The sequence below is a fragment of the Homo sapiens genome, chromosome 2 (genome assembly GCF_000001405.40).
Source record: "Homo sapiens chromosome 2, GRCh38.p14 Primary Assembly".
NCBI lineage: Eukaryota > Metazoa > Chordata > Mammalia > Primates > Hominidae > Homo > Homo sapiens.
The window spans coordinates 53,690,942-53,716,399 of record NC_000002.12 but is presented as its reverse complement, the minus strand read 5'-3'; the positions used below and the strand labels follow the sequence as shown (position 1 = coordinate 53,716,399).

The 25,458-nt window shown below is 37.7% G+C and overlaps 2 protein-coding genes across 4 annotated transcripts in view; both read left to right on the top strand.

Moving 5' to 3' along the window:
- ASB3 (ankyrin repeat and SOCS box containing 3) overlaps positions 1-25,458 on the top strand; it is a 116,974-nt gene that overhangs the window by 70,554 nt on the left and 20,962 nt on the right. For all 3 annotated transcript variants that reach the window (NM_145863.3, NM_016115.5, NM_001201965.2), the window contains 3 exons: positions 1,819-2,016; positions 15,872-16,129; positions 22,386-22,516. In NM_145863.3, the coding sequence (NP_665862.1) occupies positions 1,819-2,016; positions 15,872-16,129; positions 22,386-22,516 (587 nt within the window). The remainder of the gene's footprint in view (positions 1-1,818; positions 2,017-15,871; positions 16,130-22,385; positions 22,517-25,458) is intronic.
- GPR75-ASB3 (GPR75-ASB3 readthrough) overlaps positions 1-25,458 on the top strand; it is a 189,675-nt gene that overhangs the window by 143,568 nt on the left and 20,649 nt on the right. Inside the window, exons 7-9 of the mRNA NM_001164165.2 lie at positions 1,819-2,016; positions 15,872-16,129; positions 22,386-22,516. Of these exons, the coding sequence (NP_001157637.1) occupies positions 1,819-2,016; positions 15,872-16,129; positions 22,386-22,516 (587 nt within the window). The remainder of the gene's footprint in view (positions 1-1,818; positions 2,017-15,871; positions 16,130-22,385; positions 22,517-25,458) is intronic.

The window sequence follows — 25,458 nt, the reverse complement described above, 5'->3', positions numbered from 1 at the left end:
GCTCCTACTATTCCTGCACTTTCATATTGTGAGGCAGAATTGCTACAGACTGGGTAGGCTCAGGGACTTTCTCGGGGTGTTGACTCTTCCCATTGATTTCTCTAGTTATGGCTGTATCCGCCGCCTCCTCCTCCCTAGTTTTATCCCAGGCATCTTTAAGCATCAATCTGATGAGGCCATCCATGTTACCTCTCTGACCCCAGAAAGCTTTTGAGTTTGTGATGCCTGTTGGAGTGTGTGCTAAGTAGTCCTCCCTGTCTTAAACCCTTTGACTGAACTTTTCTTGATCTAACCTCAAATTGGAGAGAGAGTAAATGGGGGTTCCAGGAATCTTAGAAGCTAGTAACTTGGTTATACCTGTGAGAATATGGCTACCTATCATAAATTGGCAGTCAATGATTTTTAGAAATATATGTGAGAATATGGCTACCTATCATAAATTGGCAGTCAATAATTTTTAGAAATACATGTTTAGAATCTTTAGAGCCATAATTCTATAATAGCACTTTTTATAGCTGCTATTAGTATTATTTAATTTAAAAAGTAATAGTAAAATATTCATTACTTAATTTAGTTTGTTTACATAGTAGGAAAACAGATTCTGCAATTTGGTCATTATGCCACTAGGTGACACAGTACTTTACTATTTCATTAATGATATTTGTAAGCATGTTTATGTCTTGTGGGAGAGTATAATTTTTCCCACCTACTTAAAAAAATTAAACACATTTATTAAAGTTAAGAGACATTAGACTATTTTAACAAAATACTTAGATTTAAAAATTTGATATTTTCCCCAATTCTTGATCATTTATTTAAACATAAGTGTTAGATATTGTACTCTGAACTTTAAATGGTACCAAAACTCTCCTGGGCATTTGTTCTCAATTTTGAGAATTCTCATTGTCACTGATGATTTTCTTTATAGCCTACTTCAAAGGTAACCCCTTTTGTGAGTGTAAGTTCTACTTAAATGTTATCTTAGACATACATTACATGAGGAAAAGTCACAAAGAGAAATGTAATACTATGAAAATACTTCAGAGTAGCCCTGTCTGTCTTTTCCCAGAAAGAAGGAATTTCCTGGCTTTAACTATACAGTTTTATTTTTAATTTTAGAAGGGTAGAATAGTCCTTTTTTCTTTCCAGTTGACTGCTAGAGGTAAGTTTACAAATAACCTAAGAACTTTTGTTTTAATTATTTTCTTAGAACTTTCTCTACCTAGGAGCCAGCTTCTTTATAAATCTGCCTCCATATTTAATGAGCTCACTTTTTTTTCAGATAATAGAATATTTTAGCACAAATTATAATTTCTTCCTGATGAAAACATTAGTCTTAATTTCATGCCAGTTATCATCTTTAAAAATTTTTACTAATTGGAAAAGAAAAACTAGTTGGTACTTTAAGAAGGAAAATAGTGCATTTTCTTGATGCCAGTTTATACTTAGTAGAATGATGTTTTAAATAATTTATTAAACCCTAAAATATCTAACATAAAATTTGAATTTTGGGGGTTAAGGTGGTGCTAGTAAGGTAATAAAATTAAAAGAGCACCTTTTCTGTTTACATATAGGAACATTAATTTTGTTTCAAATGTATTTAAAGACCTTTTTATTAAGCAATAATAAGTGTAACATTCTGGAGTAAATATATAGCATGTAATAGTTTAATGTTGTTGGTAGAAGGTACACCCTAGACAGAAATATTTCTTTAAATGAATCAGTTGGTAATTCTGAAAAAAATTGTGCTATAGAAATGTTGCCTACATTTATGCACATATACAAACACTAAATTCTCCTGAATTTGTGTATTTATAGAATCTTGGACTTGTTAATACCACTTACTAACCGGGCCTGTGACACTGGGCTAAACAAAGTAAGCCCTGTTTACTCAGCAGTGTTTGGGGGACATGAAGATTGCCTAGAAATATTACTCCGGAATGGCTACAGCCCAGACGCCCAGGCGTGCCTTGTTTTTGGATTCAGTTCTCCTGTGTGCATGGCTTTCCAAAAGGAGTATGTATATTTGCTATGTTTTTATTTTTTATTCTTTTTTGCTGTATGGAGATGTGTTTTGAAGTGACTTTCTTTCACGATGAAACTTAGTATCTCTGTTAGTGCTAAATTGCTATCTTGGAACACAAATAGGAAAAAAACTATGATGTTTCAGTCAAGCTGAAGCAGAAATGAGGTGATAATATCACATTGTTTTCCTTCCTTCTTTGGATCTGGATTATATTTTTAGTGTAGCAATCTTAGGGAATACGTACAATTTAAGTAGACGCAGAAATTTGCTGATATTTTTGGTCTTCAAAACAATTCAAGAATTAAAAATGGGGCTTTATCAAGTAAGGCAGTGACTGCTTCAGGTCATTTACCGTTTCAAATTTATAAGATATAAGCCTAAAAATTAAACTTTAGTTTTATAGATATTATTGTGTTTTTAATGTATTTGGTGGATAGCATTAAAAAAAATTTTTTTTTTTTGAGACAGGGTCTCACTCTGTGGCCCGGGCTGGAGTGCAGTGGCACCATCTTGACTCATTGCAACTTCTGCATCCCAGGCTCAGGTGATCCTCCCACCTCAGCCTCCAGAGTAGCTGGGTCTACAGGTGTACACCACCACTCCCAGCTAATGTTTTTATTTTTAGTAGAGATGGGGTTTCTCCATGTTGCCCAGGCTGGTCTTGAACTCCTGGGCTCAAGCAGTTCCCTTGCCTCGGCCTCCCAAAATGCTGGGATGTCAGGCATGAGCCACGATGCCTGGCTTTATATTATTTTTGGATGTGAGTCTAAATAATTAAGTTTTTAAACGCCCCCAAATTAATTATTTTTCTAATCTGTCATAATTCTGTGAAATAGACTAAGTGAAGAATTACTGCTGCCTTGTTAGTGTCTGGCCAGTAACTTTGTCTATAACACTCTTACAGTTTTAAAACACTAAGAATAAAGCTGTGTGTAAGAACAGCCATATTGAGTAATATCTGGTCATCCAATAATGGAATAAGTTATGAAGATAGATGCTATTGTGTTTAATGACACAGAAGAGGTTGCAGGCATACCTCAAATTGTATTGGCCTTCTTGAATTCACTATTATGAATCTCTATTTAATTTGAGTAGTTATCAAGAAATTATTTACTAAGCTTTTCAGCCTTTACTATCTCTTAACATTTGCCATGTAAAATTAGTAGTTCACTATAATTTGTTTCAAGTTTAAGCTTACACGTTTTAGTAGAGATAGGGTTTCACCAGCCTGGTCTCGAACTCCTGGCCTCAAGTGATCTGTCTGCCTCCAGCCTCCAAAAGTGATGGGATTATAGGTGTGAGCCACCCCATCCGGCCTCTTAAACTTATACATTTTAGTTTGAATATTTGGGTTTTGGTTAATCTGAGTATCTGGGGCCCACTTTATGTATAACTTTCATGATTTCATAGGATTTTCTTGTGTACCCCGTTAAGTTTTGTCTTTTTAAACAGAAGAGCCCTAATTACTTTAGTTGACCTTCAGTGAGGTTGCACTGATAACTTTTAGTTGCCTTTCTCTATCCCAAATCTTAAGTCCGTTACAGAACTGAACATTTCTTATTAGACCAGAATATAATGATTTTGGATTGCGCGCGCGCGCGCGCCTGTGTGTGTGTGTGTGTGTGTGTTCAATATGATGATGGTCTTTTTTGGCCTTCATCTTATCTTTTGGATGAACAATGTTTTTGGTCCTTCTGGTCACAGCAGCTAAGCTCACGCCTCATCACCTTATAAGTGTAGTTTGAATTAAGCCATATAATGTAGTACCCCTGTTAACTCTGAAACACCTTAAAATTAATGATATTCCTTGGGAGCTGGGCAGTATGTTTCATGCCTTCTGTAGATTCGGATAAATGAAATTAGGTGGGAAAGATCTTAAATAGGTTTCTGGATTTTCCAAGATTAGTTGAAATTTTAGGGGGCAGACCCTTTTTTCTCCTTTGATTTCTACAAAATCAGTCAGTAACACTAATTGACCATTTTGTTATGTAGAGAGCACTAAATAGATCCTGTTAAACTTACTGAGGAAGCTGAAACATACACACGATCCTTTAGGAATTTAAAACCTAATGGGAAAAACAGTATTTAGTGGCATTTACTTCACTATCTTCTGCTGTCTTTGGCAAAGAAGCGTTTTTAATGTATTTTTTTTTTTTTGTATTTTTTTATAGAGACTCATGGAAGGGAAGGTTCCTATTTTTTTCTGCTGTGTCTGGGATAACTGCAAATAGGAGCTATTATCTCATTCTTGAATAGTGATATAAATGATTTTTTTTCTTTTCCTTTCACAAGTACTCCAAAGTTGTATTTTTAAGGAACTCCACAGTTTGGTTTGCTTTTTATGTCTCAGTTACTCTGTAGAATTTTTTTCTGTGTAAACTTCAGTGATGCTAAGAAGTTCTTAACATGCAGTGGAGTAATTCCACTACAGCCTCTCTCTTTCTCTCTAATGACTACAAAAAACTGTGGTCAAAATTCAAAAAGAAACTACCTGAGGACTCTCAAAGGAACAAAAGCAGATAGATTATGAAAGAGAGTGGTAACTTGGTGAAGTGACCCACATGAAAACGAATTTTCCCATTTCTTTTTCCTTTTTTTTTTTGAGACTGTCTCGCTGTGTTGCCCAGACTGGAGTACAGTGGCGCGATCTGGGCTTACTGCAACCTCCATCTCCCGAGTTCAAGTGATTCTCTTGTCTCAGCCACCCAAGTAGCTGGGATTGTAGGCATGTGCCACCATGCTCAGCTACTTTTTGTATTTTAAAAGAGATGGGATTTCACCATGTTGGCCAGGGTGGTCTCAAACTTCTGACCTCAAGTGATCTGCCTGCCTCGGACTCCCAAAGTGCTGGCATGAGTCACCGCGCCTGGCCTTCTTTTTCTTCTGCTGTGTTGCCCTGAGGGCCAACCCTGATCTGGAGCTGAGTAGCACCAGTGGCACCAGCAGCTAATATCAGTCAGTAACATTAATTGACCAGTTGTTTAATATAGAGAGCACTAAATAGATCCTGTTAAACTTACTGAGGAAGCTGAAACATAGACACAATAGAAAGCCTGTTTTTCTGGTCAGAGGAATCAGGTAAATGGAACCCTGTGGGCCAGAGAATGGTAGGGAATCTTGGAGAAGAGAGAGCTTGGAGAAGCGGATACCCTAATTGTGCATATGAATTTGCATATTCCTGACTTACCCCAAGCTTTAAATGCACAAGATAGACCCAAATTGTTTTTTATTTTGTTTTGTTTTTGAGACAGGATCTCATTCTGTTGCCCACACAGAGTGCAGTGATATGATCATGACTCACTGCAGCCTCGACTTCCCTGGGCTCAGGCAATTATCCTGCCTCAGCCTCTTGAGTAGCTGGGACTACGGTTGTGCGCCACCATGCCTGGAATTTTTTTTTTTTGTATTTTTTGTAGAGACAGGGTTTGCCGTGTTGCCTAGGCTGGTCTTGAACTCCGAGCTCAGGTGATCTCCCTGCCTTGGCCTCTCAAAGTGCTGGGATTACAGGCGTGAGCCACAGCACCCAGCCAACCCAAAATGTTGAAAGTAAGATTTGAACTATCATCAGAGTCTCAGGCTAGACCCTGAGTGGCACATTCATGGGTCCAAGCTTAAAGCAGGAAAGTCAAGGCTTTTGAGAACTGAGCTGACGTTGGAACCACTGTATAAGGTAAAACAGAAATTGCAGTTTGAACCTAACTAGGTTATATGCTTGCTGAAATAAACAAACCAAAAAGCTAGTGTTCTTCAAAGGATTATAACAAGACCCAGGACTCAGAATTTATACAGCATAACATTCACAATGTCCAGGAGACAACCTAAAATTATTTGACATATGAAGAACTGATAAAACATTACTAAATCTCATGGGAAAAAGCAATTAATAGATGCCAGTCCTGAGATGGTCCAGATATTAGAAATATCAGATAATTGAAAGCAGCTCTTATAATGGTGCTTCATGAGGCTAACACACTGGAAAAAATGAAAAGGTAGAAATTCTCAGCTGAGTAGTAGAAACTATAAAAAAGACGGAAAAATACAATAATCTGCAATGAAAAATTTACTACATGGACTCCATAGCCAAATGAAAGATATAGGAAAGAGTAAATTAACTTGAAAGTAAACCATTAGAAATTATTAACAAAGGGGAAGACATGCTGTCTGGCAGCTGGAGCGTGCAGACTGGCGTGGCACAGCCATGCAGCTTCTGGAGTTTCTGTTGGTTAGAGATTCAGGAGTAGCTTGGTGGGCAGTTCAGGCTTGGAGGTTTCTCTTATAGTTGCATTAAATATCAGATGAAGCTACAGTCATTAGCAAGCTTGACAGGAGCCAGGGGATCAACTTCCACAGAGGCTCACTGACATGGATCACTCATATGGCTGGGTGTTGGCAGGAAACCTCGGTTTCTCTCTATAAAAGCCTCCCCACAGGACGGCTGCAGTATCCTCATGGCATGGTAGCTGATTCCCTCAGAGGAAGAGGTCTAAGAGAGAACAAGACGGAAGTCACAGTGACCTGGTTCATTGAAATTATGGCTGTCACCTCCGCAGATCACATACACAAGCCCTGATTCAATATGGAAAGACTGTACAAAAGCACAAATAGGAGGAGGAAAGGATGATTGGGGGCCATCTTGGAGGCTAGCTGTCTCACACATTATCTCTGAAATTGCTGTTTTTTAATTTTGAAATTTTCAAACATATGTAAATGTAAAGAAATTGGTACAGTGAACTCCCATAGACCCATCATTCATATTCAGTAATGATCAAGGAAATGCCATCATTTTATTTTGTACAAATATCCCTGAGAAACATGCTCTTTCCACCTCCAGCCTTCATCTAAACATCTTATACTAACTTTCTTTAGATTTCAGTGTTCCAGGCTCTCTCCTTCCCTCCTCTTTCTGGTATGTTTATGGGGTAGAGGCAAGACCAATGCAAAGAAAGAAGGCCCTTTATGCTGGGCATCTAGGCTTTTTCAGACATCCTCTGAAACCTAGGCAGAGTCTCCCAAACCTCAACTCTTAAATTCTGTGCACCCACAGGGTTAACACCATGACCATGTGGAAGCCACCATTGTGACTTGTACCCTCTGAAACAGTGGCCTGAGCTGTACCTGGGCCCCTTTGAGCCATAGCAGGAGTGGCTAGGATGCAGGGACTAGTGTCCCAAGGCTGTGGAGGACAGTGGGGCACTGGGCCTGGCCCATGAAACCATTCAGTCCTCCTAGGCCTCTGGGCCTGTGATGGGTAAGGCTGCTGGGAAGGTCTCTGAAATGCCTTTGAGGCCTTCCACCACCCCCTGGTGGTTTTGGCTATTAGCACTTGCCTCCTTTTTACTTAATGCAAATTTCTGAAGTCTGCTTGAATTCCTTCCCTGAAAATAGGCTTTTCTTTTCTACCATTTGCCAGGCTGCAAATTTTCCAAACTTTTATACTCTGCTTCTCCTTTAAATGTAAGTTCCAACATTAGGTCCTGTCTTTGCTCATGCATATGAGCATAGGCTCTTACAAGCAGACAGGCTGCTTTGCTGCTTAGAAGTTTCTTCCACCAGGTACCCTAAATCATCACTCTCAAGTTCAAAGTTCTACAGGTCCCCAGAGCAGGGGCACAGTGCATTCAGGTTCTTTGCTAAGGCATAACAAAAGTGACCTTTGCTCACTTCCCAGTAAGTTCTGCTTTTCCATCTGAGACCTTGTCAGCCCAGCCTTTACTTTTATTCACTATCAGCACTTTGGTGACAACCATTTAACCAGTCTTCAGGGAGTTCCAAACTTTCCCTCATCTTTCTGTCTTCTTCAGAGCCCTCCAAACTCTTCCACTCTCTGCCATTACCAAGTTCCCAAGTTGCTTCCACATTTTTAGGTATCTTTATAGCAATGCCCCACTCTTCAGTGCCAATTTTCTGTATTAGTTCGTTCTTGCATTGCTATAAAGAAATACCTGAGACTGGGTAATTTATAAAGAAAAAGGTTTAATTGGCCCATAGTTCCACAGGTTGTACAGGAACCATGATGTTGGTGTCTGCTCAGCTTTTGGAGACACTTCAGGAAACATAATCATGGCAGAAGGCGAAGTGAGAGCAGGCTGCTTCTTACATGGCAGGAGCAGGAGCAAGAGAGTGAGTGTGGGAGGTGCCACACACTTTTAAACAACTAGCTCTCACAAGAACTCCCTACTGTGAGGACACTACCGAGGGGGATGGTGCTAAACCATTTATGAGAAACCCATCCCCATGATCCAGTCACCTCCCACCAAGCCCCACCTTCAACACTGGGGATTACAATTCATCATGAGATTTGGGTGGGGACACAGATCCAAACCACATCAGTAGATCTAGGGTGGGGACTGATATTCTGCATTTCTTTCTTTTTCTTTTCTTTTCTTTCTTTCTTTCTTTTTTTTTTTTTTTTGAGACAGAGTCTGACTCTATCACCCAGGCTGGAGGGCAGTGACACCATCTCGGCTCACTGCAACCACCACCTCCCGAGTTTATGCAATTCTCGTGCGTCAGCCTCCTGAATAGCTGGGATTACAGGTATGTGACACCATACCCGGCTAATTTTTGTATTTTTAGTAGAGATGGGGTTTCACCATGTTGGCCAAGCTGGTCTATAACTCGTAAGCTCAAGTGATCTGCCCCCCTTCACCTCCCAAAAGTGTTGGGATTACAGGCGTGAGCCACTGTGCCCGGCATACTCTGCATTTCTTTCTTTTTTTTTTTTTTTGAGACGGAGTCTCGCTGTGTCGCCCAGGCTGGAGTGCAGTGGTGCGATCTCAGCTCACTGCAAGCTCTGCCTCCTGGGTTCATGCCATTCTCCACCTCAGCCTCCCGAGTAGCTGGGACTACAGGTGCCCGCCATCACGCGCAGATAATTTTGTTTTTGTATTTTTAGTAGAGATGGGGTTTCACCATGTTAGCTAGGATGGTCTCCAACTCCTGAGCTCCAGTGATCTGCCCGCCTCAGCCTCCCAAAAGTGCTGGGATTACAGGCGTGAGCCACCACACCTGGCCCATACTCTGCATTTCTAACAAGCTAACAAGATGGTGCCAATGCTGCTGATCCACAGACCACACTAAGTAGCAAGAGTCTAGAGCTGTGCTGCCCAAATTGGTAGCCACCAGCCACATGTGGCTATTTAAATTAATGAAAATTAAGTAGCGTTATAAATTACTTCTTCAGTTTCCCTAGCCACCCTTCAAATGCTCAAGAGTCATGTGTGGCTAGCTACCCTACCGAATAGCACATCATCACAGAAAAGTCCGCTGCATGGCAGTGGTATAGAGAATTGACCCATAGTAACTCTCCTACAGCTGATTTTTAGACCAGAACAATTATTTATTCACAGCAAAAGAAGAGCTGGGCAGGGTAAACAGCAACAGGTTACTTATAGTATTTATTTCCTCTTTCTGGAACGGACAACCCAGTGTTCCTAAAGACAATATGGAAGGTTGTTTTGTTAGCTCAACACTTGAGCAAAAGAGGTTGGATATGTTTACCAGATTGTGAGAATGGATGAATTGCTTTTCTTCACACTAGAAGTATATTTCTCTTAGTAACTAGTATTGGGCATAAGAATCAGGGCTGAGAATGCTGGGGGAAGACTTCCTATTAAGAAACTGCGTTTTGGCTGGGTGCAGTGGCTCATGCCTATAATCCCAGCACCTTGGGAGGGCAAGGTGGGCGGATCACGAGGTCAGGAGATTGAGACCATCCTGGCTAACATGCTGAAACCCCGTCTCTCCTAAAAATACAAAAAATTAGTCAGGCGTGGCGGCACGTGCCTATAGTCCCAACTACTCAGGAGGCTGAAGCGGTAGAATGGCGTGAACCGGGGAGGCAGAGCTTGCAGTGAGCCAAGATCACGCCACTGCACTCCACTCCATCCTGGGCAACATAGCAGATTCAAAAAACAAAAAAAAAAAGAAGCTGCCTTTTGACTCCTTTTTAAAGACATAATATTTTGTCTGTTTACATACCTGCTTCTTCATTAGAATGTAAGCTCCTTGAGAGCAAGGATTTGCCCTTGATCTAACTCCTATTAGGCATTAAAAATATATTTGTGAATTAATGAATCAATAATTATATCAGATTAGCATATTTATTATATGTTAGTCTTCCTCAATGCCTTGTGGAGGGATAAGGATGGAGCATGATTCTTGGGCTTGGATGAGTCACAGATGTATAATGGCTGTGTGACTTTGGGTATTTCACTTCATTCTGCTAAATCTCATTCCATTATCTTTAAAATAGGGATAGTAATAACACCTAAGCTTGCTTTAGAAAATTATTTTGAGGATCAAATGAGCTAACAGTTGTGAAAATGCTTTGTAATTTGTAATTATTGTCTTAAAAAAACCCTAGTTTTTTGGGTGAGAGAGTCTTTGGTCTCAATGTCAATATATGTACAGATCACCTTGCCCGGATGTGTGCCTTGTACTTGCATTCTAGGATATTGCCTGTTTGGAACATCTACTCATATTTTCATACTGTCCCTCTCTGGGCAACTAGCTTTTGTAATTTACAAATATTTACAAATGTTTAACAAATTTAAAGGTTAAAAACAAATTTAAAGAAATTATCCACACAGAAGTACAAAAGAGAAAAAAGATGGAAGAAAAAAACAAGAGCGTCAGGGAACGAAGGGACAGTATCAACAGGTCTAACATTCATGTCATTAAAATCCAGAAGGAGAGGAGATTGGGCACAGAAAAAATATGTAAATTAATAATTGCCAAAAACTTCCTATTATTGGATAAAGATATAAATTTACAGATTTAAGAGGCCTGTTAAACCCAAACAGGATAAACTCACAGAAAGGCATGGTCAGAAAAATCAAAATGCTATAAAACAAATGTAAGGGAGACCTAGTCTCTCCCCGGATCAAAGAAGAAAAAGAAAAGTAAAGGTGAAGCAGTATGGTGTACAGTAGTCCTTGGTCACAGACATGAGTTAACAAACTTAGTTTTGTTTTTTTTGTGTGTTTTGTTTTTGCATCTCTTAGAAATTTTGCTCTTTGAAGTGGCCATGTGAGCATAATTACAATTTGTTTTTGTGCTATCGAAAGGGCATATGAGCGATTTTCTTTCATGTGAGACTTGTAATTGAACCAATATATTCTTAGGTAGATTTTCAGTAAGTAGTCATTGGAAAATGCTATATTTTTAGCCTTTAAAAATAAAGTCAAAACCTCAAAATATCTGTTTTAGGAGGGTGTATTCTCTTAGTCTTTTTATTTTTCATTCTAGAATTGGGCAACACCTTATTCTATAAAATAGAACATAGCAAACTTTAAGGTCAAAGAGACGTAGAATTTGATTGTGGGAATTTTGTCAAAAATATCAAGGTTCAAAAAACTTTACCAAAGTAGGATCACAGGTCAATGTGAAATAATAGTCACTTATCTCATCTAGAGTGATAATTAAATGGCTTCAAAAGGCAAATGCAGAAAGTTATATAGTTGTAGAAAAACCTGAGTTCTTTATTAGAGAGTTTTCATAAGTGATCAGATAGAATAAAGACAACATGAAGCACAGGGAATCATCTTGATAAAATGCAGAATCTTTGTTTTTTTAGACCAGTTACCTAATAGGTAAAGGAAAACCTTTCATTATTTCCAAGAAAACTAAATACCACATTTTTATTATCTAATGTCTGGCTGGTTGCTTATACATTTACTGTATATGTAATATGAGACTTATTCATTTTGAGTTTCTGTATGAAGCTTTTCCAATTAAGCAAGAAAATGATCATTTTCCCAGTAGGTTTTGCTTTGGTATGTCAAGAGGGTCATATAACCAGTGTCTGAGGGAAAAAAATTGAAGCTGAAAAATATGTTTTTGGTTATTTCTTTTGATAAGTAAGCATCTTAAAATTTGGATTGCCTACAATCACATGACTAAAATTAATTAAATTAATTACAGTCACCAATTATAAAGCAAGGACAATTGAATATAATCTTAATTTTAAAATAGCTATCATATGTTATTTTTTCCCTTTTTTTTTTTTTTTTTGAGACAGTCTCTCGCTCTGTGGCCCAGGCTGGAGTGCAGTGGCGTGATCTTGACTCACTGCAACCTCTGCCTTCTGGGTTGTGGCGTTTCTCATGCCTCAGCCTCCTGAGTAGCTGGGATTACAGGCATATGCCACCACGCCTGGCTAATTTTTGTATTTTTAGTAGAGATGGGTTTTCCCATGTTGGTCAGGCTGGTCTCAAACTCCTGGCCTCAAGTGATCTGTCCGCCTTGGCTTTTTGGTGTGGGATTACAGGTGTGAGCCACCACGCCTAGCCCTTCTTACTTTTCTTAATGAGTGATACACGAATTTCCTATATCACTTTTACCAGTTATAAGAATTCAAATTTGGTCACAATACTGGTACCAGGTAACTTAGAAGATTCAATTTTCCAAAATTAATTATTTGATATTCTAATTTTTAGGGATTTGGTAATAGATAGTAAGTTTAATGGTATAAGTTTAAAAATTTTATTTTTATAGCAACAATGTGTTATGATAGTGTTAATTTGGTATGATTGTTGTAATTAACACCTATCCGACTTCAGGTGTTAATGGCTAAAAGACTTCCCTTTTCTCATTTGTATATTTTCTAGTATTTCTCTGAAATCTATTAATTTACTATTTGTGGACTTTCTTGCACTATTGACCTGTTGTATTCTAATAAACTTTTATCTACTTTTATAAATAGTACAATTAACACCAAAAGGTGATGAAAATGATAAATAACAGCTTTGGATTTTCTTTATTCTTGTTGTTTTGAGATAGAATTTCACTCTGTTGCCCAGGCTGGAGTGCAGTAGTGCAATCATTGCTCACCGCAGCCTCAAACTTATGAGGTCAAGTGATCCTCCTGCCTTGGCCTCCTAAGGTGCCCCAGGTTTTAAGTTTTCTCTTCCTTATTATTTTTTCAGCTAATTCAACTTTTAAGCTCAGTATCAGTGTTCTGAAACATTTTTGGTAGGTATTCTTTGTGAGAATGACACTTAGCTCCTTTCACCACTCCCAGGGATGATGGAAAGGTGTCTCCTCCACTACTGTATAGATCCTGCAACAAAAGCAGTTTTTGTCCTTTGGAGCTAAAAAGTTAGCAGCTATATTGATATGAAGCCAGTCTTTCAAGAGTAATTGAGTAATCCATCTCGAATGAGGAAATATAAGAAAAAGATTCCTCCAAATGGAATGGGAAAGGAAGAGGGAAGTTGAGAAGTTTTAGGACTGTTTGAGCAAATATGAATGCCTTTTATATATGGCCACAGAAGTAGATTGTGGCTTAGCTCACCTGGTTTTGTCTGTTTTTCTAGTTGATACTAATCATTGTTATTACATTAGTTTCATAGAATTAATTGTGTCCATTCTAGCCACCATATCGTGTGGGCACATCTGACAAAACTGAATGTCTTCATCTTGTTTTCAGCTAATGGTCGAAAGCCATTCAGTAAAACTCACTATTTGGCCTGTTATAATTCACCTAATAAGTTGGTTGGATATTTTGTTTGCTAATTGAACATAAAATGCTGAAGATATTTGCCCATTTCTATTTGTTTAAAGTAAATTTTGTTTTCATGTTGAATTTTCTCTTACTGTGCTTCTTTTATGTGTGAGCACTGTTTTTCTGCATAGTTTTGAACTTCAAGGAGCGGAGTGGTAGAAAATGTGCAAACCCCCAAAATAAGGTCTAGACATTGGATTTTAATTTTTAAATCTCTCCTCTCAGTATCTGATGTTGTTCACTTCTTATATAATGTACAGTCCCTCTATGTCACAATTAATTCTTGATATTTATGTTAAACAAGATAGACTTTTGTTTAAATCTCGGGTACTTGAAGAGTTTTCTCAATTTGATATTAGGGCTACAGAGAGAATTTGTTGAAGTGTTAAGAGAAATACATACTAATTTATATTTTAACCAGAGGTTATCCATGCTCAAGGATTTATTGTGTGCTTAGTGACATGTAATAATCAAGGTCATATAGAGCCCTGAAGTTGAAGTTGCTTGTGTTTCTGTAGTGTGCACATGTATTTGAGACCTTCTTTAATAACCTTCCCAGAAGCTCAGGGCATGCTGACAAAACTCTATGCTTCTCCAGTTTATTTTGTGTTTATTTTATTCTTCAAACAAATGGTAGTTTTTTTGGGAAATGGTCTATATTGTAGCACTGTGCAGTTTTATAAGCCTTTTGGGATTTACTCTTGCCCCTTCTAATACAAGGCAATGTGAATAATTGGAAGAGGTTTAGAGCTGATTTTCTAAAGTGTGTTTTGGTAGAATACTAATTCTGTAGATTGTTAATAGATATTATATGGGATTAAAGGGGTTGTATTGTTAAATAAGTTTGGGAAGTACAGGATTAAATAATATTGAATATGTTTCTTTTGTAGAGGGCTTTTGAGAATTTTTCTTATTGTAGTGTGCTTTGTGAATTCCTAAAAGAGGAATGGATCTACAAAGATTTGAAAAGTCCAGAAACATAGGATAGAACTTATATTTAAGTATATATACCATTGTTCTTGTGTTTACAGAATTTTGGGCATTTTATACTTTTGTTTGCTTTTTTCAGATTAATGATTGGACCCATTGTTAATTTTAAAGGTACCTCTTCTGAAAAGTATCTGAAAGTTGAATAAAAACATTGAGCATATATTTGGAAATGTAACTAACACATTGTTTAAAAATACATTCATCCTATCTTTCTCAGGCTCACTGTATACTGTATAAGGAGGTTTCTCAGTTTTTTTCACTGGAGAGTATTTTTCATATGGATCATTTTCAGGAACTAAAGTTCTGTGTAACCTACTTTGGAAAACATAGATCTGGCTCTAAAATATTCTTCAATTTGGCTATATCATGAAGTGTTCAGTTTTCATAATAGAGAAGAGATATTGCAGAAATTTGCTATGTCATATTCACTGTTAGATTTTGGTTTGATATCATTATCCCAGTTCTGCCAATTACTAGCTCTGTGACTCAGCTTCAGTTTTTGCATCTACAATGGAGATAATAATAGAAGTTAATTAATTTTAAGATGTAGTATTGTAAATTAAATTTGTGTTAATTAAAAAAGTTTTTAAATTTTTTTTAATACCATTATAAATGTAAGGCCAGTCACGGTGGCATACCTTTTGGGAGACCAAAGCGGGAGGATTCATTGAGGCCAGGAGTTTGAGACCAGCCTGGGCAACATAGTGAGACTCTGTCTCTACAAAAAAATTTAAAAATTAGCCAGGCATGGTGGCATGTAGCTGTAGTCCCACCTACTCAGGAGGCTGAAGTGGGCGGATCACTGGAGCCCAGGAGTTCAGTTACAGTGAGCCTTGATTGTGCCACTGCACGTCAGCCTGGGCCACAGAGCAAGACCCTGTATCTAGAAAAATAAATAAGTTTAAAGTGGGAGGGAAATTGGCTAAGGTTATTGCTAAGGAAAATGATATCTTAGAGATTCCTAGAATCATTTAGTTTTAAGGATTGATCACGTTGTTTATTGATTTTGTTAAGCAAAGTATTTTGTAGTAAAGATACTCATTTGTACAAAATATCACAATTTGAGTTTTCTGTCAATGATAATTTTTTTTAAAATGACATTTAAGATGAATGTTTTAAATTATAATAATACCTGTTCACAGTTGAAAATTAAAAACCATGCAGGAGGGTGTAAAAAGCAAAAGCCCCACCACATTCTCTAATCTCAATCCACTAGATGTGTAGAAACCATCCACTATTTAATCTGCCATACTTATTCCCCAGCTGTAACTACTATTAACTGTTTGTAAGAAGTATCTTATGTCAAAGTCTAACTTCTTCTTTTTTTGTTTTTATTTTTTATGGTGGAGCTGTGAGTTCTTTGGAATTGTGAACATTCTTTTGAAATATGGAGCCCAGATAAATGAACTTCATTTGGCATACTGCCTGAAGTACGAGAAGTTTTCGATATTTCGCTACTTTTTGAGGAAAGGTTGCTCATTGGGACCATGGAACCATATATATGAATTTGTAAATCATGCAATTAAAGCACAAGCAAAATATAAGGAGTGGTTGCCACATCTTCTGGTTGCTGGATTTGACCCACTGATTCTACTGTGCAATTCTTGGTAAGAAATTCTACCATAGTCGGGCTTACCCTTTTTGAGTGAATATACTACCTTTAATTTCCTTCAGTTGAGATCCCAGTGTTTGGAGAAGGGTATCTGTGTTTTGACTGTGATGGCTGAATTGGGGTGAAGGAGTTGGTGGCTGCTAATAATGAGATTGAATTTAAGCACAGAGTCCTGGGAAAAGATAAGAGGTGACTGGAAGGAGGTATGAGGGGATAGATGCCAGTGAGCTCTTCTAAGAGGGATATTTCTTCGACTTCTGGGCATTCCTCATGCTTCTCTTAAAATGCCTGTAACAGAAGAAAGAATGCTTGGAGCTGCTTTGGAGATTTCTGTTGTCTATCCCTCAGCCAACCAGACTGAATAGTCCTGCCGTACAGCATCCTGTGTATTTGAAACTTGTCACCCTTAATAAATACTGATTTCTGAAGTATCTGAGACTATAGTTTGTTTACTTCAGGTAGTTCCTCAGAAGGGCAACCCTCAGTGAGAGATTATACAAACGCCGAGTCAGAATTTTTTGGGGGGCAAGAAGAAGACTCTTTCTATTAACCTCCAGCCTTTGCAAAAATTGTTAGTGTCCTAACACAAGTAATTGTAGTAGCGAGAGGACTCTTGGCCTAATAATTCAAGTCAAATGAGAAAATAAAATGGAAGTCTTCAGGAAAATAGAGGACTTGTTATTTTATAGAATTTCAATAAAATATCTAGAAGTCTTCACTTTCGTGTTTCAATTCTTACCCCGTGTGATGTCTGTCCCTAAGGCACTAATTGTCTTCTTAGAAACACTCCTTGTGTTTTTCTACCAAAGCTATTAACTCTGATTCGATATGACTTGCCCAGTACTTTCAGCCTTCATGCTCCTTTCTGGTTTCTAATTTATTTATTTCTGTAACCAAAACATAGAAACTGTCTGATACCTACTGCTGTGGTTTGAATGTGTCTCAAATTTCAGGTGTTGGAAACAGTCCTCAAATTCATTTGTTGATGATATTTGGAGGTGAGATATTTGGGAGGTAATTAGGATTAGATAAGATCATCAAGATGGTGCCCCAGTGATGGGACTGGTGGGTGGCTTTATAAGAAGAGAGACTGGAGCTGATATGCTTTTGTTCTCTCACCGAGTGATGACCTCTGCCATGTTATGACACAGCAAGAAGGCCCTCATCAGATGGGCCCCTTGACTTTGGACTTCCCAGTCTCCAGAACTGTAAGAAATAAATGTACTTTCTTTATAAATTACCCAGTCTCAGGTATTGAGTTATAGCAACAGAGAATGGACTAAGACAGAAATTTGGTACTGAGAAGTGGGGCTGTTGCTCATAACGATTACCTAAGAATATAGAAGTAGCTTTCGAACTAGGTAATGGGTAGAGGCTGGTAAAGTTTGGAAGAACAGTCTAGAAAAAGCCTATATTTCCGTAAATGGAGTGTTAAGGGTGATTCTGGTGAGTGCTCATAAGATGAGAAGACTAGGAAAGTCTCAACCTTCTTAGAGATTATTTAAGTGGTTGTGACCAAAATGTTGATAGAAGTATGGATAGCAAAGGCCATTATGACAAGGTCTCAGATGACAATTAGCAATACCCTGTTGGAAAGTGGAGTAAAGGCCATCCTTGTTATTAATTAGTGAAGAACTGGGATGAACTGTGTCTATGCCTAAGGACTTTATGGAAGGCTGAATTTAAGAGTGATGAACTAGGCTATCTGGTGGGAGAAATAACTAAGTAGCAAAGCATTCAGGCTGCTGCATGGCTACTTGTGGCCACTTATAGAGAGATGTGAGGGCAAAGGAATGACTTAGGACATAATATAATTAGAAGGGAAGAAGAGTAGAAAATTTTGGAAAATTCTCAGCCTGGCTGTGTGGAAAAGAATGAAAGAGAATTTTCAGGAGAGGAACCCAACGTTGTGACTAGCAACCCTTTGCTGAGCAGATTTGTACAAATAGAAGATATCATCAAGACAATTAGAAAAAAACCTTGAAGGCATTCCAGAGATCTTTGAGGCTGTCCCTCCCATCACAGGCCCAGGGCTCTAGGAGGTCAGATTGGTTTTCAGGAGGGTTTGTGGGGTGGTACTAATTCTGTAGGCATGTAGAATGCAAGAGCTGTGGGGGCATGGATTCCTCCACCTAGATTCCAGAGGTTGTTGAAAACAGTCTGGGGGCTCAGGCAAGAGACCTGTCCCAGGAGAAGAGCCACTGCAGAGAGCCTTTCTAGAGCAATGCCCAGTAGAAATATAGGGTTAGAGCTGCCACAAAGTTTCTACCAGGGCAATGCCTAGAGGACCCATGGGAGCAGGGCTGCCATTGAGACCTCAGGACTGTAGAGCTACCAGCATGAAGTGCCATCTTGGGAGAGCTGAAGTCTGAGCAAAGCCATAGGGGCGCCATAGGGGTGGGACTGAGCCTAGCAAAGTCATAGGGGTGGAGCTTCCTGAGGTAGTGGAGGCTCAGCCTCCATCCCAGTTTATCCAGGAAGCCCTGAAGTGGAGTCAGGGAAGATTATCTTGGAGTCTCAAGGTAATCCTCTTGAATTTTGGACTTACTTGGGTCCTATTACTCTTTGCTTCTTGGATATGTCTCCCTTTTGGAATGGGAATGTTTGTCTTATGCCTGTCCCACCATTGAATTTTGGAAGTAGATAACTTGTTTGATTTCACAGGCTCACAGCTGGCAGGAATTTAAGGTAAATTATGCCTTGAGTCTCATCCCCCTCAGATACCAAAATCTATGTGTTACTGGAAAGGGGTCCCAATCTAGACCCAAGAGAGGGTTCTTGGATCTCGTGCAAGAAAGAATTCGGGGCAAGTCCATAGAGTAAAGTGAAATCATGTTTATTAACAAAGTAAGGGAACAAAAGAATGGCTATTTCATAGGCAGAGCAGCAGCACAGGCTGCTGAGCTGCTTATACTTATTGTTACTTCTTGATTACATGCTAAACAAGGGGTGAATTATTCATGAATGAATTTTCCAGGAAAGGGGTGGGCAAGTCCCAGGACTGAGGGTTTCCCCCTTTTTATACTATAGGGTAACTTCCTGAAGTTTCCATGGCATTGGTAAACTGTCATGGGGCTGGTGGGAGTGTCTTCTAGCATGCTAATGCGTTATAATTAGCATATAATGAACAATGAGGATGACCAGAGGTCACTTTCATCACCATCTTCGTTTTGATGGGGTTTGGCCAGCTTCTTTACCAAGTGCTGTTTCATCAGCAAGTTCTTTGTGACCTGTATCTTGTGCGGACCTCCTGTCTCATCCTGTGACTAAGAATGCCTTAATTTCCTGGGGATGTAGCCCAATAGGTCTCAGCCTTATTTTACCTAGCCCCTATTCAAGATGGAGTTGCTCTGGTTCATACACCTCTGACACATGGATGCTCAAGTCCCTTATATAAAATAGCATAGTATTTGTGTCTAGTCTATGCACTTCCTCCCATATACTTTGTCATCTCTAGATTACTTATAATACCTAATGCCTTATAAATGCTATGTAAATAGTTGTTGTACTGTATTTTAAATTTGTGTTATTTTTTATTGTTGTATTGTTATTTTTCATTATTGTTGTTAGTATTCTCAATCTACCATTGGTTGACTCTTAGGATGTGGAGGGCTATCTATAGTTCTATTACTCAATTTTAGTAATCCTTAATCCCTTGCCTAACCTGAGGGATTTGTGCCAATTTTTCTTGCTTCTTCCTGCTCCTAAATTAGGAAAAACCTAAGCAGGGGGAAAAAATCAAACATTGCCTATTTTCCTTTCCTCCCCAGCCAACTAAATGGACTACTTGGAGGCAGAAGGATTTATTTAGCTTTATTCTCTTAGAAGGCTTTGTAATTTATCCCCCCTTTCCCAATTCTGATACTGCTCCCCCATTTTCCCCCACTTGTGAACAGTTGAGAATTTTTGTCGCAATAAGCCATTGGGTGTGTGCTGTATTTATCGGATATGTGAAATAGAAAAGAATTAAGAACTAGTAAAGTAGAAACTATTTTGAAGTAAGTTGTGAAACTTTCGGTATTCTGAATGCAGAATGCCAATTACATGTTTTTTACTCCTGAGGAGTAACTTTGGTTACTTTATATTCATTAGAAAAAATACAGTGGAAAATTTAACTTTAGCAATGAAAATGCTTAACATGGTCAAATTTTTGTTCACTGATCTTTTTTATTGAATGGGTAAAGCCAATGTTTACACTGCATATGATAAATGTTTTGCTTTCTTTGATCAAATTTACATTCAAAGAGCTATTATAAGAAACATTCTATAAAAATTCCAATATGTTGTTAAAGTAGATTTTGATTGTTATTTATATCACATGTAGGTCTGTTGCTTAATCTTTGTCACGTAAATTATAAACATATTTTCTGGGTATTGCTTGTCTTAAACAGTCTTGAAAATGTATCTGGCTGAATAATTGCCTGTCACAATATTTAAATGCAAGACTAAGTATTCCTCTGCCTGCGCACCCCACCCCCATTTAATGGGATAATAGAACATAAATGTCATTTGTGCATTTAGTTGATTAAATGTCACTCGTTTATGATTGTACAACTGGTCTATACAATGTAATGGTCTCTGTAGTAAAGTAACAATACATTTTTAGTGGCATTATCAGTGTTGGTAAAATAAACTCACCGTTATATTAACTAAACTGTGCAAACAGATTTACTTGTCATGTATATGTTCAGATAACTGCATAAAAATGACTTTGTGTTTGGTCACAGTAAGACCTAAAGTGCATTAAGGCAGAAAAATGAAATCGTTAAAAAAAAAAATAAAGAACCAGAACCAAGTAACCTTTGGTTTGGGACCCCTAGAAAGTCAAGGAAATTGTTTGTCTTTGAATATATTGTATCATTTCATTTATCCTCAGTATTTCTGATAAGTTGTGATTTCACTGAGATATGCTGAGAAATAAAATGTTTTCCCAAGACATCTGTGCTGCCCTTTAAGTTCTTCCTTAGATGTTTGCTTATTGGAGAATTAAGAATTTGGGAAATAATTTTCATAATCTTTAGTCCATCATTTCAAAGATATTTTGACTCCAAATTACCAGAAGTGTCTTTGAGATGGTGAGCTTAGATTGTTATTCAGTTTATCTTCTTTCCTTGTATTTCCTTTCCTTCTTCAGTTGTTGTTGCTCCGTAATACCTCCAAAGAGGTGACCTTGAGAAGAATTTCTGTTTTGGTAGTAATTACTAGAAGCCCTAGTGACTTTTTTTTCTCCAACCATTGTGATGGTAGGGGGGGTCTAATTGAATACAGGATAAGTAATCTTGTTAGGATTTAGAGTTCTTTTAAAGGTTTGACTAAATTTTAAAGCTTCTAAAAATATAATACTGAAGTTTTCAAATCGTTTCTGGTAATACCAATTTTTCGTATAATACTTTATAGTTTTAAAAGTATGTTTACTATGTTATCTCATATTATTTTCACATATAGTTCCCTGAAATGGGCAGCTTATGTATTATTCTCATTTTAAAAAGCAGGAGCGAGAGTTTAAATAATTCAGGCAACCTGTTTATAAGTAGCAGAAGCAGTATTAAACATCAAGACTTTTCTTAAGCCAGTGCTCTTTCCATTAGGTTTCAAGTGCTTATAAATTTTGGGTTAGCCTCTTTTGAGTGGGTTGGTAGGGAATCTGACGTTATTTTGAAAGAACAGAGGAAGGCCTGTTTGGAACCCCTTCTTTCAGTCCTTAAAGACAAGTCTTATTCTGTTACATCGTTTAGGGCTGAATTTATAATGGGGGGAAGGTTCTTAGAGGAGAACAGCTGTGCATCCCTGGGAGTTGGGCAGAAACAAGCCATACTTGTACACTTGTACACTCAGTTTAGGGATAACTTGGGGTGTTTGGGCTTTATCCTTTTAGGATTATTAAATTATATGTCTGTAAGGATGGTCAATTTACATTTGGCAAGATAGTCCAAATGGGAGGAAATAATGGCAAATCCACTGATGTCATTGGTGCTGTCACCCATGAGAAGGAAAGTTCCTACTCTCTCTGAGGTTCCTCTTGTCATCTCTTAGACAGCTACATAGAAAGTCAATTCAGTTAATAGGAACCTGTAGATGATTGTTAATATCCTCTGATCTTGCCTCTAGTTACATAAATACTTAACATGCCCTGGTTTTCTGTCTGCCCTCCTCATTGAGATTTTGTAAGAATAGGTATGTGGTGTTTGTTTCAAGTACGAACCCTTGGCATGTTTTGTTTCTAATATTATATTAACATCTTGCTAACATAGGATTGACTCAGTCAGCATTGACACCCTTATCTTCACTTTGGAGTTTACTAATTGGAAGACACTTGCACCAGCTGTTGAAAGGATGCTCTCTGCTCGTGCCTCAAACGCTTGGATTCTACAGCAACATATTGGTAAGAAAGAATAACTTTTAAACACACTTCACTACTTTTCCTTCTCTTGCTTCTCTAGCTGTGTTGTAATTTTAAGTGATAAGATTCATCGGTGAACACAAATTAGACATAATTTGCATTTTCTTATGTGAGGAAAAGATGGGGTTGTTAGGGGATGGCTAGTAATTCCCTTCAGTAAAAATCATATTTGATTTTATAATCTTAGCCTAAGGAACATATAAAGAAAAGCAGATGTTTACTGATATTTTAATTTTATGATATCCTTTTATTTTTAATAAGGATTATATACACAAAAGTAGGTCCTAAAAATCTGCTTATTCTGTACTTTGTGGTCAGAAAAATGCTAAACTTAATTTTTCTCTTTGGAATGTCTGTGGAGTTATGTTCTCTGTGTAATATTTTATCATATCTAAAAGGAAATGTAACCATTCTTTATACCTATCCTTACTGAATGTGTATCAGTCTGTTGGTATGGTATAACTGTGGAGATAAGCTGAGTGCACATTCTGTGAACTGGTTGATATTTTAAAAGACTATTCTAGAACAAAATTTCAACTTACCTCACTTAAAAAAATTTTTAAGCTAGTTGAAAAAATGAAAGAAAACACAGTGGGGGAAGATTTTGCACAGGGAACAAGTTTAAACTGAACATAACATATGCAAAGTATCCCTATTTACTTTTTCAGATTTATTTTGCTTTGACTATATTTTGTTAACCATATTATATGTCTTAAGTTAGGAAAATTGTTTCTTCACTGCTATTTTTACATGAAATGTAACTCTTCATAAAACATTTTGAATAGGTTTTTAACAAGTGAACTTATTCATATGTAGAAATGTGTCTTCTAATTTTTGGAAAATTACATTTAAGTAAATTTTCTCAATCAAAAACAGACATTCAGGAAAATAGGCTTTTGAACTGAGGTGTATTCAAACTGTTAAGAGAGGTTTCTGTTAAAGAAAAAGAATTGATTTGGAGTCTTTCAGCCTTCTAGTATAGAATTTCTTTAATGATAATGTTGGAAAACTCACTCTGTGTAACTCTTAATGTTGAAAATTGCATCTGCTTTTACTAATTATGTATCTGCAGCAGTAGAGAACAAATATCTGTTCAGAACAGATAGACTATGGAACAATGGATTTGAGAACTAAGAGTCAAAAGAGGAAGCATATGCCAAATGGGAAAATTATTGCTACATATCGATTAGTAAGGATATATGAGAGTTTACCCTTAAGACCTTAACATATGGCAAGTTTGTCCAGATGAAGGTAAAAATTGTGCTTGAGTACTGCATTACCCTGCAGTAGACTAAATCCATCAAGGGCTTCTTGTTTAATTAAGTACTAGGTAGAGTTTGTGTAGGGTAATAATCATCATCTATTGAGAGATTTTTATTTTGGCTGAAGATTCAAGAAAACCTTTCTCAGAGGCTTTTTCTGAGCTAATGTAGCTAATGGTTTTCTGGTTTGTTTCTCTAGCCAAGCCCTCTTTTCTTGTTTCCAGTCTCATTTATCCCAACTATCTTTTGGACATCTCCATTTGCTATCTCACATCTTGACATATGCAAAATTGAACTTGTTATTTTTCCTACAAATTCTTCTGTTTTGTCTCTGTTTCCTGGTTCAGGAGATGAGGTGGTTTGGGAGTGCTGTTTACCAAGAGAGCGAGTTAACACTGGAAGCTGTTTGTTATTTCATCCATAGCATAGGGGTGATTTTTGCCCCCCCTGTAGACATTTGGCAATGTCTGCAGACATTTTTTTGGTTGTCACAATTGTTAGGGATGCTATTGCCATCTAAGGGGTAGAGGCCAGGGATGCTGCCAAGCATCCTACAATGCACAAGACAGCCTCCTACACTAAAGAATTATCTGGCTACAAATGTCAGTAGCGCCGAGGTTGAGAAATCTGGATCCACAGTGACTCTTGTGTTGTCCTATCGTGGAAAGGCTTTTTATCCCTCTCCTTGTTACAACCTGCTTGGGGAAAGCTTGTATTCTTCCTCCTGCTTACATTGGTCTCTCAGGGTATTCTTTGGTGCTTCCTCTTCTGCAGACAGTAGGTACCATTACAATGCTGGAATTTTAGTAAGACTGGGAGAAAAACTTAGTTGCCTGGCTTTCAGATGGGATTGTGACTCTCTTCCTTTCTATAATTCAGGTCTCTCTTGGGGGCACCCTTTACTCATCAGTTTTTAGGATACTCAATTTCTGTATGTTGGTCATCGGGACTCCCTCCTTTACCGGGATTTTGAGCTACAGGATCTCTAGTAAGCAGAAGCATGATCAGGGTTTTAATACTAATGGGCTCAAACCCAGCAGGACAACTCTTTGATTAACCTCTTTACAAAACTGACCTTCTTGCTTTTACCCCTCTTCCTCCAATAACTTATCATAATGTTAACAACCGCTGCCTTATCAATATATTTAAAAATTTTTTTTTGAAAAGATACTTCTTGCACCTCTGCCACTGTTAGTAAACTCTTAGATAATTCCTAGCTTCCTAGCTCCACTCAGTATTCAGTATGTATCTCTAGGGAAATATTTTTCTCCCATTTTTTATTTGAGCCCTTTTCAAGTCCTGGAGATGCCATGTACTTGGTCAAAATTATTCTTTCCTCCCCTTTTTCCTCCCTAAGTAAGTAGCAACTTGCCATGGTAGTTTATAAACAAAAGTAACAACGCATTTCTTGCTTCTCATCTTTTAATCATTGAGTCAGATTTGTCTTCAAAAAGTTTCTAGCATCAGAAAGGAAATGTATACCAGGTAAAATTTAGTGAGTGGTTGCAGTTTCAGTAACAATCTTTTAATCAAGTGCCTCTTACATACCTCTTAGAAACATCAGCCTAACCACATAGCAATAGATGTCTTACTCAAAAAATTTGCCAACTCCTGGTCAGGTCTAAGTAATTAAATTCTTATAGATAAAAGCACTTGGCTTTA